We start from the raw sequence: 16,322 nt of genomic DNA on the forward strand, positions 1-16,322 counted from the left end.
CCAGGCATTCTCCACCTGGGGTCTCATTCCTGGCCACAATTCTTAGAAAGTACACAGCCTCAACTTTTACATTTTTTAAAAGTTTTTTATTTTTCAGTTTTTGTAGAGATGAGGTCTCACCATGTTGCCCTGGCTGGTCTTGAACTCCTGGCCTCAAGCCTTCCTTCCGCCTCGGCCTCCCAAAGTGCTGAGATTACAGGCCTGAGCTGCTGTATGGCTATGATTTTGTTAAAGGCCGACACAGAGGTGAAGTCAACTGCTAGAAATCACGGCTTTTAAGAGGTGGAGTCACATTTGAACTCTGGCCTCTGATGCCAGATCTGCAGGTCACATGTTCACCATGGTCCAGGTGACCCTGACTGCGGTCCCCACCTCTTCTGTGAGGCACAGGGCAGGATTCCACCTGAGGCGCGAGGAGCCTGGGACGACTCCTTTGGTCTCTTCTGGGGTTCGCAAAAACCTGGGGGTCCCGGGTGTGAAGAAGGGTGTCTGCGCTCTCAGCGGTCAGGCTCCAGGCGCTGCGACAGGACGCCGAGGACGCGCTGGAACTTCTCAAAGCGTTCAGCGCGCGGAGCTCCCGCGCCCCGGCTACCCCAGAGCAGCCTCCGCACGAAGCCGGTGGTCAGGGCCTCCCTCAGCTCCGGGTTAGGCCGGAATCCTGGAAGCAAGGTCAGGTGGGCTGGGGGCGGGGCCCAGGCGCCCGCCTCGCCCCTCCCAACCTCCCGGCACCTTCCTTTCCCCAGAGGACTTTGACCCAACAGGGGCCCGGGAGGGACCTGCCCCACCTGCGGGATGACTAGGCGGGGTCAGAGGGGAGGGGGCTTCCAGCTCTCTGCAGGAATGGGGGTGGGGTGCCTGAGGGGCTCTACCGCAGTGCAATGGGGTGGCCTGTTCCAGGTGCCAGATCCTGGAGGTCCCGCCTTAGGGGCTGTGCCTGGACGTGGGGCTGCCCCGAGGACGGGATCCCAGGTTGTCGGGGAAGGTGGGGGGATCTTGCCGGGTGGGCTGCCCTAGGATAGGACGGAGGAGTCGTTTTGGAGGGAGCAGGGCGTTCTTGGGGATCGAGATCCCTGGGGGACGGGATCGTCTTAGGTGGGAAGGGGGAGTGGGGACCCGCGGAGGTGGCTCTGGGGGCAGGACAGCCCGTTTTGAGGTGGACGGCCCTGTTCCTATCAATACCGCTGGATGCAGCGTTTGCTTGGGGTGAGAACCTTCCTGGAGTGGAGCCGTCCCAGTTTGGGTGGGGCTCCGGGAGGCGTGGCGAGAGGCTCCCCTCCTGGGACAGGCTGGGTTTGGGGGATCCGGTTAGAACCTGCAGGGTGCTCTGAAGTCTGCAGTCCAGCGCAGAGGGAACGCTCACCTCGCAGGCGCTGGGCTGCCACCTTGCGGAATTTGGGTGCGTCCCGGACCATGTGACGCGCCCCGTGCAGGGTGCGCAACAGCCGCTCACAGCTCTCGTCCAGCGGCCCCGCGACTTCCTCGCCCTCCAGTAGGCGAACCATGGGTGCCACGTGCGGCAGCGCCACCTCGCCGGGGTCGCAGGGTCCTGCGGAGGGGGAGGGTCTGATCAGGGTTTGGGGCTGTAGATGGGGCATAGGGCAGAGGTGGAACCTAGGACAAATGCAGGGGCGGGGCTTAGGACTGAGCGACAGCGGGGTCTGTGGAGAGGGGCCAGGACCACACGCCCCGTATGGAGGGCGGGGCCTATGGCGAAGGGGCGTAGCCTAGGGAAAGGGGCTGGGACCAAGGCTGGTGGGGGCGTGGCCTAGGAACAAGTCTCGTGTGGAGGGCGGGGCCTAGGGAAAGGGCCAGGACCAACCCTCATGTGGAGGGCGGGGCCTATGGTGAAGGGACCGGGCCTAGAACAGATGCAGGGACTGGGCATAGGACTAGATTGAGTCCTGTTAAATTTGGTCTGGGCCCCCAGGGGATGCTAAGCCCCAGACCTTCACTTACCAGCGCCCTCATCCAGAGCCCGCATCAGCGGCTTCAGCTCCTGCTCAAAGGCCAGCGCAGCCTCCGTGTGGCTCCTTCGGAGCTGGCGCCACGTGTGCTCCAACCGGGACACCTGGGAGAAGAGATCTGAGCACGCCTCCTCTCCAGTCTTCCCAGTCACCCGCACTCCAGCTTCCTCCAGTCCCTGCTCCCCACGAACCTGGGGCATGAGCAGGGCGCCCATGACTGCAGCCAGCCCGGGCAGGTCCCCCGCCGCCCCTGGCCGCAGCGCCAGCGCCAGCTCTACCAGTCCCCTCAGTGCGGCTGCGCGCTCCTCCAGCGGCCCCGAGCAGCCCAGCACCGCCAGCGCCCCGGCCAGCGCCAGTGTCTGATGCCTGCAGAGGTGGAGGGCAAGGGTCTGGGGGAAGTGGGGAGGTTTGTAATGCAGGGGTGAGGGGGGACAGGAGGTGGCATTGCCCCATCTCCCTTCTTCCCTGGGGAACCATGAGTGGGGAGCTGTTTGGAGATCTTGGGAAGTGGGGGGAATTGGCCTCCCCCAACCAAGATTACAAGCTGCTGGCTCACCTCTCCAGCAGTTCCAACCTCAAGTGGTGTCCATGGGGAAGAGTGAGCAGCTCCAGGCCAGATGAGACTCCCATGTTGCCCCGCTGATCTCTGGTCACTCCCAGGAGGCCTGTGGCCTGCAGAAGGGAATGGGGAAGTCAGGTGAAGCGTGATTATGTAGGCATGGTTGGGTCTTGCCCTGGGCCTGGGGAGGAGCATCCCAGGAGGTGACCCACCTGGCAGTCTACCAATAGCAGGTGAAGGGCGGTGCTCCCAGGATGGTGCTCCAGGAACAGGCCACGGAGGGTATGCAGGACTTGGGGTTCCAGGGGCCGATTCTGGGGGCCCAGCAGGCAGGAGGGGGCATCATGGGGGCAGAAAGAGATCTCAGCCTGTGGTCTTGTAAAACATCTATTCTCTTCCTCCTCATCCTCCTCGGCCTCCCACCATGGGGCCTCTGGCTCTGGGCAGCTTTGGCTCGGGGATGTTCCCTGGACACTGGGCACTCGGGGCACCAGCTCGCAGTACGTCGGGGGACGTTCAGAGGCATCAGGCAGTTCGAAGGAGGGTGTCCGGGGGGGCTTCGTTGGTGCCTTGGCTTGAAGCTGCCCATCGGAGGCCCTGAGACTGTCGGCAACAGTTCCCAGGGGAGCAGGGGCCTTCAGCAACACCGGGTCACTGCTCGTTCGGGGCAAGGCAGATATGGGCATGGTGGAGGCTTCTAGAGGTCATACAAGAGGGGTCAATGGGAATACACAGGGAAGATTGCTGAATGGGCGGGGGTGAGAGCTTCATCGGCTACCACCCACCTGATCCATCCACTCATTCCAATAATGGGGTATAACAACCTATCCGGGTGCAGTTTTGAATTTCAACCACCTCGACGGTAGAAATGCTACATGCTTACACATGGTTAGAAAACTTTAGCATCTCTATAGTTCTGTAAATTATTTTTTTTTAATTTTATTTTATTTTATAGAGATGGGATCTCACTGTGTTGCCCAGGCTGGTCTGGAATTCCTAGTCTCAAGCAATCCTCCCTCCTCGGCCTCCCAAACTGCTGGGATCACAGGCATGAGCCACCTTGCCTGACCCTATGAATTCTGAATACTACATTTTAAATTTGAATTCTTTGTTTTTGCCCCTCTGACTGAAAGATGGTAAGCAGTGACCCAACGAAATTAAAAATTTTTTTAAAAAAAGGATGAGCGTGGTGGCCGACGCCTGTAATCTCAGCATTTTGGGAGGCCAAGGTGAGAGGATTGCTTGAGGCTAGGGATTCCAGACCAGCCTGGGCAACATAACAAGATCTTGTTTCTACAAAAAGTTAGAAAATTAGCTGGGCATGGTGGCATGCACCTGTGGTCCCAGCTACTTGGGAGGCAGAGGTGGGAGGATCACTTGAGCCAGAGGCTGCAGTGAGGTATGACTGCACCACTGCACTCCAGCTTGGATGACAGAGTAAGACCCTGTCTCAAAAAAAAAAAAAAGATATCTATCTATCTACAATTAAGTGATATATCTCTCTATATCATATCTATAGAGATAGATATATATTATATAAATATATAATATATATTTAAATTAAGTATATGTTAAATAAAATTAACATTATTAAATGTATAATGTTGCCCTATATACTACATATAATTACATTTATATATGATAGATATTTTACTTTTTTTGTGATAATATATCTCTCCATAGACATATCTATATAAAATATATACAATTAATATAGATATCTATAGAGAGACAAAGTATAAAAAATTCACAAAGCTGCGTATGGTATGACACTCAGATAAGTGTCAAAGAAACCAAGCTTATTAAACTTTCTTTTCTTTTTTTTCTTTTTTATTTCTTCTTAAAAAAAAAGATACATGTGCAGAATGTGCAGGTTCAGTATCTGTGTGCCATGGTGGTTTGCTGCACCTACTGACCCCTCCTCTAAGTTCCCTCCCCTCATCGTAAACTTTCAAATGACGTCCTTTGTAAGTTGGTGGCATGTTGATCTCCTGGACTATTAGTACTTAAAACTGTACTAAGACTTTTGGGAGACTGTATTTACCATGCCTTTGAATAGGCTCTTTTCTAGGAACTTGAAATCATCCAACAGTGCCTGGCTCACTCTGAGTTAAGGTCCAAAGTGCTCACAGTAGCTGAAAAATCCTCACAATCTGAGCCCCAGGGTCTCTCTCTCTGACTCTCCCCTCATTCCCTCTGCTTCAGCTACACTCGTGTGTCCCTCCTTCCCTCCCTCCCTTCGTTCCTTCCTTCCTTCCTTTCTTTTCTTTCTTGACGGAGTCTCACTCTGTCACCAGGCTACAGTGCAGTGGCGCCATCTCGGCTTATTGCAACCTCTGCCTCCCGGGTTCAAGTGATTCTCCTGCTTCAGCCTCCCGAGTAGCTGGGACCACAGGCGCCACCACACCCAGCTAATTTTTGTATTTTTAGTAGACACGGGGTTTCACCATGTTGGCCAGGATGGTCTTGATCTCTTGACCTCGTGATCCGCCCGCTTTGGCCTCCCAAAGTGCTGGGATTACAGGCTTGTAATTTCTGGACTATTAGTACTTAAAACTGTACTAAGACTTTTGGGAGACTGTATTTACCATGCCTTTGAATAGGCTCAACCTGCACATTCTGCACGTGTATCTTTTTTTTTTTTTTTTTAAGAAGAAATTGAGCCATTGCACCCAGCCCTTTCTTTTCTTCTTCTTTTTTTTTTTTTTTTTAAATTTGAGTCAGGGTCTCACTCTGTGGCCCAGGCTGGAGTGCAATGGTGCGATCACGGCTCACTGCAGCCTTGACTTTCTGGGTTCAAGGAGTCCTCCTGCTTCAACCTCCCAAGTGGCTAGGACCACAGGCGTGCAACACCACACCCAGCTACCCACTCATTTTTTGGTTGAATGAACAGCTTAAATTCTTGTTCTGACCCAAGAGCCTTTGCACTGCCTCTTCCTCCTGCCTGCTTATCCCCCAGTTATCCACCTGTTCCCTCCCTCATTTCCTTCAATTTTATTTTTTTCTGCAATGGGGCCTTTCCTGACTACCACTTAAAATTGCTTGCTTGGGTACAATGGCTCACGCCTGTAATCCCAGCACTTTGGGAGGTTGAGGTGGGTGGATCACCTGAGGTCAGGAGTTCGAGACCAGCCTGACCAACATGGGGAAACCCCATCTCCACTAAAAATACAAAATTAGCAGGGCGTGGTGCACATGCCTGTAATCCCAGCTACTCGGGAGGCTGAGGCAGGAGAATCACTTGAACCCAGGAGGTGGAGGTTGCAGTGAGCCGGTATCACGCCATTGCACTCCATCCTGGGCAACAAGAGCAAAACTCTATCTCAAAAATAAATAAATAAATAGAAATAAAATAAAATTGCAATATACATCTCCATCTTTATAGTCTCTATCTCCCTTACTCTGTTTTTTTTGTTTTGTTTTGTTTTTGTTTTTTCGGTTTTTTTGAGACAGTCTCACTCTGTCCCAAGTAGCTTGGATTACAGGCATATGCCACTACACCTGGCTAATTTTTGTATTTTATTTTATTTTATTTTTTTTTAGTAGAGATGGGTTTTCACCATGTTGGCCAGGCTGGTCTCGAACTCCTGACCTCAAGTGATCCGCCCACCTTGGCCTCCCAAAGTGCTAGGATTACAGACCTGAGCCACCTCACCCTTCCCTTACTGTTTTTTGTTTGTTTGTTTGTTTTTTGAGACAGAGTCTCACTCTGTTGTCCAGGCTGGAGTGCAGTGGTGCAATCTTGGCTCACGGCAACCTCTGCCTCCCGGGTTCAAGCAATTCTCGTGCCTCAGCCTCCCGAGTCTCCCGAGTAGCTGGGATTACAGGTGTGTACCACCACGCCCGGCTAATTTTTGTAGTTTTAGTAGAGACGGGGTTTCGCCATGTTGGCCAGGCTGGTCTCGAACTCCTGACTTTAGGTGATCCGCCCGCCTTGGCCTTCCAAAGTGCTGGGATTACAGGCCTGAGCCACTGTGCCTGGCCTTCCCTTCCTGTGTTTTAATTTTCATCTTGAAGCAAACAAAATTGCCTTATTTTTGTGGTTCATGGTTTGTTGTCCTCTCGTGGACTGTTGGCTCCCATCGGGCAGGGATCTTTGTCTCTTTCTGGTTTGTTGATGTATCCTAGCACTCCGTGCAGGGCCTGGGATGCAGGGACGGCTCATGTTGAATGGGGTTGGGAGAAGGATGGGAAAAAAGGGGCATGAGGGGGCATTCAGGTGAGTCCTCCTTTAGGTAAGACCGTCAGACTCAACTGCTTTGAGGAACTTACCCTGGATGGAGAGGAGCCACTCAGGAAAAAATTAGGGGAATGAGAATGTTCCCGTCACTGGTGGAAATGTAAAATGCAAAGGCCCCGAGGCGGGAATAAAAGCCTGAGGGTTCGAACAACTGCAAGGAGGGCTGTGTGACCAGCATGAGGAGGGTACGTAGCAGAAGTTGTTAGCAAGGTAAGCTGTGGTCAGAACAGGTACAGCTCCTTGGAATAATTGTAAACACTTTTTTTTTTTTTTGAGATGGAGTTTTGTTCTGTCACCCAGTCTGGAGTGCGGTAGCGCCATCTCGGCTCACTGCAACCTCCACCTCCCAGGTTCAAGCGATTCTCCTGCCGCAGCCTCCAGAGTAGCTGGGATTACAGGTGCGTGCCACCACGCTCGGCTAATTTTGTGTTTTTAGTGGAGATGGGGTTTCACCATGTTGGCAAGGCTGGTCTCGAATTCCTGACCTCAAGTGATCCACCGGCCTCGGCCTCCCAAAGTGCTGGGATTACAGGCATGAGCCACCGCGCTCAGCCTTGTAAACACACATTTTAAGCACCCACAAAGTCCCTGCATGTTTTAAGTCATCGTGATTGTCATCATTTTCTAAAGCAAGAAATTGAGGCTCGAAGAGGTGCCTGCACCTGACCAAGATCTCTTAGGTGGTGAGTGGCAGAGCCAATCCCTGAGCCACAGGCCATTCTAGCAGACACTTACCCATCCCAGCGGGGTCTTCTCTTGACCGCCCCATATGTGCCAAATCTGCAGGCTGACTGTTGCTCCACTTCCTTGCCCTGGGGGACAGAAGTGGGAGAAACCTGTAGTCCCCACCTAAGCAGTGTCCCCCACCAATATCTGCAAAACCCTGTGTCCAGTTACTCTGTACCAGTGAGTCTCAACCAATCAAGGTGACCTACGTCCAGGGGACTCTTAGCAACGTGTGGAGACATCTTTAGTTGTCACAACTAGTAGCATCTAGTTGGATGGAGCTCAGGAATGCTGCTCAGCACCCTATGATGCACAGGACATCTCCACCTCCTCCCCCACAACTAAGAATGTTCGGGCCTCAAAAGTCAACCAAGGCCGGGTGCGGTGGCTCACACCTGTAATCCCAGCACTATGGGAGGCTGAGGCGGGCGGTCACGTGAGGTCAAAAGTTCAAGACCAGCCAGGCCAACATGGTGAAACCCTGTCTCTACTAAAAATACAAAAAATTAGCCAGGCGTGGTGGCTCATGCCTGTAATCCCAGCACTTTGGGAGGCCGAGGCGGGTGGATCACTTGAGGTCAGGAGTTTGAGACCAGCCTGGCCAACATGGTGAAACCCCGTCTCTACTAAAAATACAAAAAATTAGCCAGGCATGGTGGTGCACGCCTGTAATCCCAGCTACTCGGGAAGCTGAGACAGGAGAATTGCTTGAACCCGGGAGGCGGAGGTTGCAGTGGGCTGAGATCGTGCCATTGCACTCCAGCCTGGGCAACAGAGTGAGACTTCGACTCCAGAGAAAAATAAAAAATAAAAAAGTAAAAAAATTAGCTGGGCGTGGTGGTGCACTCCTGTAATCCCAGCTACTCTGGAGGCTGAGGCAGGAGAATCGCTTGAACCTGAGAGGTGGAGGTTGCAGTGAGCTGAAATCATGCCACTGCACTCCAGCCTGGGCAACAGAGTGAGACTCAGTCAAAAAAAAAAAAAGTCAACCATTGAGTTGGAAAACCCTGCGAGTGTTGGGTGTTCTCAAGGAGGCAGGGAGACTGTGAGTACCTGAGAGGCTCTATCCGAGCTGGGCCATCCATCAGGGTGTCCTCGCTAAAGCTGCGTCGCAGAGGCCCCTGCCAAGTCACAGGCCTGGAGACCACAGCCCCTGTGGCCTGGGACAGTGGGCGCCTGCCTGTCATATAACTGTGAACCAGAGCCGGTATGCTGGGGAATTGCTCATCCTCCAGTTGAAAGAGGGCTGTGGGTCGGCCTGGCCGGGGACGCAGGGCCACACGGAACACCTCAAAATGGAGGGCTGAGCCCCGCCAGCGGCAGGAGATCACGGGGTTGCCCCCACGGGACCCAGAGGCGCGAACCAGGAAGTCGCCATTTTGCTGAAGAAGAGCTTCAGCCTTCTGTGGATGAAGTTCAGGGGGCAGGGGAATTAGGAATGAGTCCAGGGCAGTGGTTAATGGTAGCTCCCCCCACCATTGCCCCCACCACCCAAGAAAAGCTACCCCAGTGAAACTTCTGTGGCAGGCAAAGACGGGGAACTTTCACACCAAGTTCTGTCCCCCTTTCTCCTGGCACCTACGTAGACTACATTTCCCAGGTTCCCTTGCGGCTAGGGTTGTCATGTGATGAGAACTGGCCAATGGGATGTGGGGTAGAAGGGCTATGGGAAATATCCAGACCTGGCGCATAAAACCCTGCTGCACAATCTTATAGGTTGTGTCCCCTGTCTGTCAGCTGATATCCCCCAAAGCCCAGAGGGATGACAGAGCTACAAGATGCACTTGGCTCCCAACTGATTTATGGAGCTTTGCATCTCTGCTTCTCAACCACCTTGGACTATGACATTAACATGTTGACTGTGTTTAGCTGGTGATATCTTGGGAATGTTTGTTACAGCCACTAGCTGATGCTGACCAATGCAACATCTAATTTGGTAAATGCACTGTGCTTGTTATGCAAATGTGGCTTCAAGAGAAGCCATTAGCTGGATGCTTCCAGATTGGGGCCCCCTCTTTTATAAACATTTGCAAGCAGTCTTATGCCAGCTGTGGTGGCTGGTGTCAAAATAGGGTAGGAAGGGTGGGGCACAGTGGCTCACACCTGTAATCCCAGCACTTTGGGAGGCTGAGGTAGGCAGATCACTTGAGATCAGGAGTTTGAGACCAGCCTGGGCAACATGGCAAAACCCTGTCTCTACCAAAAAATATAAAAATTAGCTGAGCGTGGTGGTGTGCACCTGTCATTCCAGCTACTCAGGAGGCTGAGGTGGGAGAATCGCTTGAACCCAGGAGGCAGAGGTTGCAGTGAGCCGAGATGGAGCCATTGCACTCCAGCATGGGTGACAGAGTGAGATCATGTCTCAAAAACAAAAAAAAAACAAAAAAAAAAACAAAAAAAAGGCTTGGGGAGGCAGGTAGAAGGGCCAGGACCCCAGAGAGAGGCAAAGTAGAGCTGAACATGGGGTCTGGGGACTAAATAATAGATGTAGCAGACACACGTGTGTAGCCCTTACTATATGTCAAGCACTGCTTTAAATGTAAAGGGTGTTAACTCTTGTAATTCCTGTAACAAGGGTGGTAGGTATTATTATACCTTTTTTTGTTGTTGTTCTTTGGGACGGAGTTTCACTCTTGTTGCTCAGGCTGGAGTGCAATGGCACAATCTCGGCTCACTGCAACCTCTGCCTCCTGGGTTCAAGCGATTCTGCTGTCTCAGCCTCCCGAGTAGCTGGGATTACAGGTGCATGCCACCATGCCTGGCTACTTTTTTGTATTTTTAGTAGAGAGGGGGTTTCATCATATAGGTCAGGCTGGTCTCGAACTCCTGACTTCAGGTGATCTACCCACCTCGGCCTCCCAAAGTGCTAGGATTACAGGCATGAGTCACCATGCCCGGCCCATTTTTTTCTTCCGGCCTTTTTTTTTTTTTTTTTTTTTTGAGTCAAGGTCTCTCTCGATTGCCCAGGCTGAGTGCAGTGGAGCACTCATGGCTCACTCACAGCCTTGACCTCCTGGGCTTAAGCAATCCTCCCATCTCAGCCTCCTGAGTAGTTGGGACAACAGGTACATGCCACCCATGCCTGGATAATTTTCGCTTTTTTTTTTTTTTTTGTGTAGAGACAGAGTTCTGCTATGTTGCCCAGACTGGTTTGGAACTCCTGACCTCAAGTGATCCTCCTGCCTCAGCCTCCCAAAGTGCTGGGATTACAGGCATGAGCCAACATGCCTGGCCTGCTATCCCTATGTTAAAGATCGGGAGACTGAGGCCCAGAGAGGTCAAATGTCCTGCCCAAGGTCACATACAATATAAATTGTAGGGTTTGGATTTGAACCTAGGGTGTCTGGGTCTCAATTATGGGATTTTAACTATTAAGTTCTACTGCCTCTCATGATTTCATGAGATGCTCAGGGTCCCAGAATTTTTGGGGGTGACAACTGAGTTTCAGATGGAGGTGGGAGCCTCAGATTTATTTGTTTGTTTATTTATTTATGTTTTTGACAGAGTCTCGCTCTGTTACCCAGTCTGGAGTGCAGTGGCACAATTGTGGCTCACTACAACCTCTGCCTCCTGGGTTCAAGAGATTCTCCTGCCTCAGCCTCCCAAGTAGCTGAGACTACAGGCGCATACCACCATGTCTGGCTAATTTTTGTATTTTTATTAGAGATGGGGTTTCACAATGTTGGCCAGGCTGGTCTTGAACTCCTGACTTCAAGTGATCCGCCCACCTCGGCCTTTCAAACTGTTGGGATTACAGGCGTGAGCCACCATGCCTGGCTTGGGAGCCTCACATTTAGAGGGAAATACCAGGAGGTAGATGGAGTTCAGAGGGAGAGACGGCCAGAGCCAAGAGTAGTTTGGGGGCATTAGGACTCTCCTTAAGCTCCATCACCAATCTCATCATCCCAAAGAAAGTGATAATTTAAATATAGTGACAGTCCCCAGCCAGCCAACCTTCAAGACAGTCCCCAGCCCTCTGCCACCTGTCCCAATAGACCTTGGCACTAAGTCCCTCATCCAGGGACCCAGGAATCCTCAGCAAGGGTGGGAGAGGCTCCCCACCAGATGGTGCTGAGGTCCTGCTGTGGGTGGTACCTGGCGGGACAGGAGGCCGTGGTACCAAGGTTGGCCAGCAAGGTCTTCTCCATCCTGTGGCACCTGCATGGAGCTCTTGGGAACAGAGGGTGCCAGGGCTGAGCTCTGCACTTTCAACAGGCCTCAGTCTTCCACATCTGTAAAAGGGGAATAATTAGCCCTGCTTGAGTGTCTGGGTCAGCTCCTTTCATCCTCTTCTTAATTTTGGAGACAGCTCCATCAAATCTTTTTTTTTTTTTTTTTTTTTTTTTGAGACAGAGTCTCATTCTATCACCCAGGCTGGAGTGCAATGGTGCGATCTTGGCTCACTGCAACCTCTGCCTCCCAGATTCAAGCGATTCTCCTGCCTCAGCCTCCCAAGTAGCTGGGATTACAGGCATGCACCACCACACCCAGCTAATGTTTTTTCTTTTTTTATATTTGTAGTAGAGACAGGGTTTCACTGTGTTCGCCAGGCTGGTCTTGAACTCCTGACCTCAGGTGATCCACCTGCCTCAGCCTCCCAAAGTGCTGGGATTACAGGCATAAGCCACTGCACGCAGACTTTTTTTTTTACATTTAAAGAGAGAGGTCTTATGTGTTGCCCAGGCTGGAGTGCAGTGCTATTCACAGGTGTGATCATAGCACACTTTAGCCTTGAATTCCTGGGCTCAAGGAATCCTCTAGCCTCAGCCTCCCAAGTAGTTGGGATTACAGATGTCACCATCGTGCCTGTTCCAAATATAATGCAATCGAAGAAAAAAAAAATGGCTGAAGATGACAACATGCCACCCCATCTTGCAGAAATGTAATTAATGAATTCACTGAACCCCTATTTATTCAGCACCTTATGGGGTCCCAGGCTCTGTTCTAGGCCCTAGAGACATAGCATTGAACAAAACAGATGGAAATCTCTGTCCTTGGGAGCTGACATTCTACTGGGGAGCAGCACCTCAGAAAAGAACTAGATGATGGCATACATGAGTGAGTGCTAGACAAAAAAACTAAACCATGGATGGGATATAATGAAAGTACAGGTGCTAGGGTGAACACTCTTTTTTTTTTGAGACAGAGTCTTGCTTTATTGCCCAGGCTGGACTGCAGTGGTGCAATCACAGCTCATTGCGGCCTTGACCTCCTGGGCTCAAGTGATTCTCCCACCTCATCCTTCTGAGTAGCTGGGACTATGAGCGTGGGCCACTGTACCTGGCTAATTTTTTTTTTTTTTTTTTTTTTTGAGATCAAGTCTCACTCTGTTGCCCAGGCTGGAGTGCAGTGGCATGATCTCAGTTCATTGCAACTTCCGCCTGCTGGTTTCAAGCAATTCTCGTGCATCGGCCTCCTCAGTAGCTGGGACTACAGGTGTGTGCCACCATGCCTGGCTAATTTTTAAAATATTTTTAATAGAGATGGGGTTTCTCCATGTTGGCCAGGCTGGTCTCGAACTCCTGACCTCAGGTGATCCACCCTCCTCAGCCTCCCAAAGCACTGGGATTACCAGCATGAGCCACTGCGTCTGGCTGTGCCTGGCTAATTTTTAAATATATATGTAGAGATTGGGTCTTGCCACGTTGCCCAGGCTGGGTGAACATTTTTGATCATGTGACCAGGAAAGGTCTCATTGAGTAAAGTCTGGAAGGAATTCTGGGGAGTGTGCCAGGTGACTCTGGGTGAAAAAACATCCCAGTCAGGGGGAATTTAACTTACAAACATCCATGGCTTCTCGGCAACCTATGCGCACACTCAGAGGTTCTCAGGATAGGTGCAGATCTAACCCCTATTCTTTGCTTTAGAATGCAACGCTGGGGGCCAGGCGCGGTGGCTCACTCTTGTAATCCTAGCACTTTGGGAGGCAGAGGTGGGTGGATCATCTGAGGTCAGGAGTTTGAGACCAGCCTGGTCAACACAGTGAAACCCCGTCTCTACTAAAAATACAAAAATTAGCCAGGCATGGTGGCGTGTGCCTGTAGTCCCAGCTACTCAGGAGGCTGAGGAGAGAGAATCGCTTGAATCCAGGAGGCAGACCCTGCAGTGAACCGAGATCACACCACTGCACTCCAGCCTGGGTGACAGAGCAAGACTCCGTCTCAAAAAAAAAAAAAAAAAAAAGAATGTAACCCCAGGGTTAAGATTTTTAAAAGGTCACATTTTGTAGCAATGTCAGCAAACAGCAATGTTGCCTTTGCAGATCCTTCTATTTCGGAGCCCATACATGTGGTTATCATGATGATTGAATTTGGATCTCAGACATTTTGGTAGTTTCCCGATAATCTCACAGGCCTCAGGGCCAGTGTGTCTCAGGTGTCTGGTGGGGGAGATTTCTCTGGATGGTCCAGAAGAAGATAATCTGCTTCTTACTCTCCTGCAAGCTCTCCCTGCAGCCCTGCAAAGTCTTCTGGTGGGGTCTGCAGAGAAATTCCTGCCTCCTGAGTCAGCAGGAAGTTCCCAGACCAGCCCTAGGTGGCTTTAGGGGAGGAGCGCTGGGCAGGGAGCCAGCTGCCAGTGCCGCATACCTGAAGCCAGGTGTGTCTTTGCAATGCCTGCGCACTTCCTGTTTGTCACCTGGACCAGGGCTAGCCTCGGTCGCAGAGTTTCCCAACCCCAAGTTCCTGTCTTGTGTCTCCCTTAGTGAGAGTGAAGTTGAGTCAATGGCAAGGTTCTGGTTAGTTTGAGGACACAGGGTGGCCATAGGTCAGCCAAAGGCCAACTAAGCCATCTCCTGCCTCTGAGTCCTTTGGGATCATTTATTCGGGCACGGAAGAGAAGAAACGGGCAGAATCAGGAATCAGACCAAGCATAGAGAGAGGAGAGAGGGGATTATTCATGTTCCAGTTGGATCATAAACATGTGTCCACGTGTGGGGAGGACGTGGAGGGTGGGAACCACCAGCACAGGCAACACAAACACAGATGTAGGCAGGACTCGCTTTTGACGTTGGACGACCATTGCTGGAGCACTTGCTGTGCACCAGGCTCTGTTCTAGGACCTAGAGATACAGTGACTAAGGAGATTAAAGCTCGGCACCACCCTGCCCTCCAGAGCTTGCAGTCGGCTGCGCAAGACAGACTGCAAACGAGCACAAGATGAATGGAGAAGACAGACCATTTCTAAGAGTTATCAATGAAAGTGATAAGCCAGGGAGATGTGATAGAGGAGGCTGGACAGGACAGCCTCTCCTATAAAGTGACATTGGAACTGAGACCTCAGTACAGAAGGAGGCAGTTAGGCAAAGATTTGGAGGAGTCGCCTGGGTGAGGGGTACAGTAAGGGTAAAGGCCTGGAGCTGAGATGGACTTGCTTTTTACATTTTACATCATCAAGGCGGCTGGTGTAGCCGGAATACGATGAGGAAGGAGTAGATAGGAGGGCAATGAGGTTGGAGAGATCAGGAGGAGAGACTAGGCAAAAACTAGTGGACTTTGAATTTTAATCTCTATGACCCAAGGGTTTTAAGTGAAGGAGGGGCCCGATCTGATTCGCCGTTTAAGAGGATCACTCAGGCAAAAATGGAAACAATGGCTTTCTGTGCTGCACAGGAAATACACTTAGAGAGGCACGCCCAGGTGAGCCCGAGCACACCGACACGCGTAACGCACAGCGACCCTCTCATTCGCGAGGCGACCTCTTCTACCCCAGATCCTCCCTGCGAGCCGGTGACCCCACCTGGAAAGAGAGGACTCCCCATCCCAATAATCCTGGTTCTGGATCTGCCCTGGGGCTCCACTCACCTGGGCAGGACCCGCGGGGCTCCCACGAGGCTGGGTCCAGGCGGAAGCTGAGGCTCCGCGGCTCCGGGCTGCTGTCACCCCCGCCCTCCACCTTGCCACCGCCCCAGCCTTCCCAGACCACACCTAGTGGGAACTCAGCCCAGTTACCTGACCACACCTCCTGCAGACCCCGCCCCCTGCGGGCCCCGCCTCAAACTAACTTCCCAGGCCCTTGCTCCGCCCCCTTAAAACCATTTTTTTTGCTACTAGCCACGCCTCCTTCTGCATCGCACCGCTTTCTCCATAGACCCCGCCCACTAGGGGAGCACCACGCATCCTTTCCTGCCAGTGGCCCCTCCCCTTGTATATAGCCACGACCACCGCCGAATGACTACGCCCACCCGCAGCCACCTCCTTCTCAGCCCCGCCCCTTAGGGCAATAGAAGAAATTTCATCCCAACGTTCCCGCCCCTTAGAACCCTGCCCCTCCCTTCCACCCAGGCGGCCCCAAGCACCCATGGCCCTTTGGGACCAGGGCGGGGTGGAGTGGGGTGCCTCTCTCCCCTCCCCGCCAAGGCTCCGGGTCAGGGCAGGGCAACTCCCTCGGGCTCTTACGCCAGGCTGGGGTAGCTGCGGCAGCTGTGACGTAAGGAGGGGTACGCTTCCTCCAGACCGCCCTCCCGGATTTTCCGGAAAGAAGCCCCATTTAGGTGGCGGGTTTTGTGGAGAGACGTCCGGGAAAACGCGACAGCTTCCTTCAGTGACAGCACGCTGGAGCGGGGCGGGACTTTGGTGGAGGTGGAAGGCAAATCATTCAGGTGGTTTCCCAGGTGGGAAGAAGGGTGGGGGGGACTTCCATCGTGATGCCTGGAGACGAACAAGAGAAAAGGTGACAGGGACCTAGTGCAAGAGAGAGGACTCTTTGGCCACGTTTATTGATGAGTTCCTCATATTAACATCAGTCTTGTCTTGTAGAGACAGGGTCTTGCTATATTGCCCAGGCCGGAGTGCAGTGGTGATCATAGCTCACTGTAGCCTCAACCTCCTGGGCT

The 16,322-nt window shown here is 52.2% G+C and overlaps 1 protein-coding gene across 17 annotated transcripts, besides 5 other annotated features; it reads right to left on the minus strand.

The window, feature by feature from the left end:
- Positions 1-64: 64 nt before the first annotated feature.
- SH2D3A (SH2 domain containing 3A) lies at positions 65-15,340 on the minus strand. Of its 17 annotated transcripts, none has more exons than NM_001386587.1 (10): positions 15,292-15,340; positions 11,585-11,721; positions 8,543-8,892; positions 7,499-7,575; positions 2,736-2,837; positions 2,521-2,636; positions 2,156-2,353; positions 1,957-2,068; positions 1,361-1,546; positions 65-658 (listed from the first exon to the last, which is right to left on the minus strand). In NM_001386587.1, the coding sequence occupies exons 2-10, from the start codon at positions 11,651-11,653 to the stop codon at positions 498-500; spliced, it is 1,371 nt and encodes a 456-aa protein (NP_001373516.1). In that variant the 5' UTR covers positions 11,654-11,721; positions 15,292-15,340; the 3' UTR covers positions 65-497. The 17 variants fall into 17 exon arrangements, with proteins under 17 accessions (NP_001373516.1, NP_001373515.1, NP_001373514.1 ...); NM_001386586.1 differs by having other exon boundaries at positions 65-679; NM_001386585.1 differs by having other exon boundaries at positions 2,156-2,330; positions 2,736-3,217.
- Positions 1,305-1,484: a silencer, noted in NCBI's record as "silent region_9966". NCBI's record gives its function as "represses an Ori minimal core promoter by ATAC-STARR-seq in GM12878 lymphoblastoid cells {active_cell/tissue: GM12878}" and the evidence as "EXISTENCE:reporter gene assay evidence [ECO:0000049][PMID:35858748]".
- Positions 1,655-1,864: a silencer, noted in NCBI's record as "silent region_9967". NCBI's record gives its function as "represses an Ori minimal core promoter by ATAC-STARR-seq in GM12878 lymphoblastoid cells {active_cell/tissue: GM12878}" and the evidence as "EXISTENCE:reporter gene assay evidence [ECO:0000049][PMID:35858748]".
- Positions 8,735-9,235: an enhancer, noted in NCBI's record as "H3K4me1 hESC enhancer chr19:6760841-6761341 (GRCh37/hg19 assembly coordinates)". NCBI's record gives its function as "activates a minimal SCP1, AML or CMV promoter by ChIP-STARR-seq in primed H9 embryonic stem cells {active_cell/tissue: H9 hESC(primed)}" and the evidence as "EXISTENCE:reporter gene assay evidence [ECO:0000049][PMID:30033119]".
- Positions 12,830-13,730: an enhancer, noted in NCBI's record as "NANOG-H3K27ac-H3K4me1 hESC enhancer chr19:6764936-6765836 (GRCh37/hg19 assembly coordinates)". NCBI's record gives its function as "activates a minimal SCP1, AML or CMV promoter by ChIP-STARR-seq in naive H9 embryonic stem cells {active_cell/tissue: H9 hESC(naive)}" and the evidence as "EXISTENCE:reporter gene assay evidence [ECO:0000049][PMID:30033119]".
- Positions 15,819-15,878: a silencer, noted in NCBI's record as "silent region_9968". NCBI's record gives its function as "represses an Ori minimal core promoter by ATAC-STARR-seq in GM12878 lymphoblastoid cells {active_cell/tissue: GM12878}" and the evidence as "EXISTENCE:reporter gene assay evidence [ECO:0000049][PMID:35858748]".

This window comes from Homo sapiens, chromosome 19, assembly GCF_000001405.40.
Source record: "Homo sapiens chromosome 19, GRCh38.p14 Primary Assembly".
NCBI lineage: Eukaryota > Metazoa > Chordata > Mammalia > Primates > Hominidae > Homo > Homo sapiens.

Excerpts from the sequence above, each read along its gene's own strand:
- SH2D3A (NM_001439225.1), bottom strand. The coding sequence starts at position 11,653 with ATGCAGGTGCCACAGGATGGAGAAGACCTTGCTGGCCAACCTTGGTAC. Across the intron at positions 8,893-11,584 it reads ACGGCCTCCTGTCCCGCCAG|AAGGCTGAAGCTCTTCTTCA; the intron begins GTACCACCCACA and ends CTTCATCCACAG. Across the intron at positions 3,221-7,498 it reads AGAAGACCCCGCTGGGATGG|AAGCCTCCACCATGCCCATA; the intron begins GTAAGTGTCTGC and ends TATGACCTCTAG.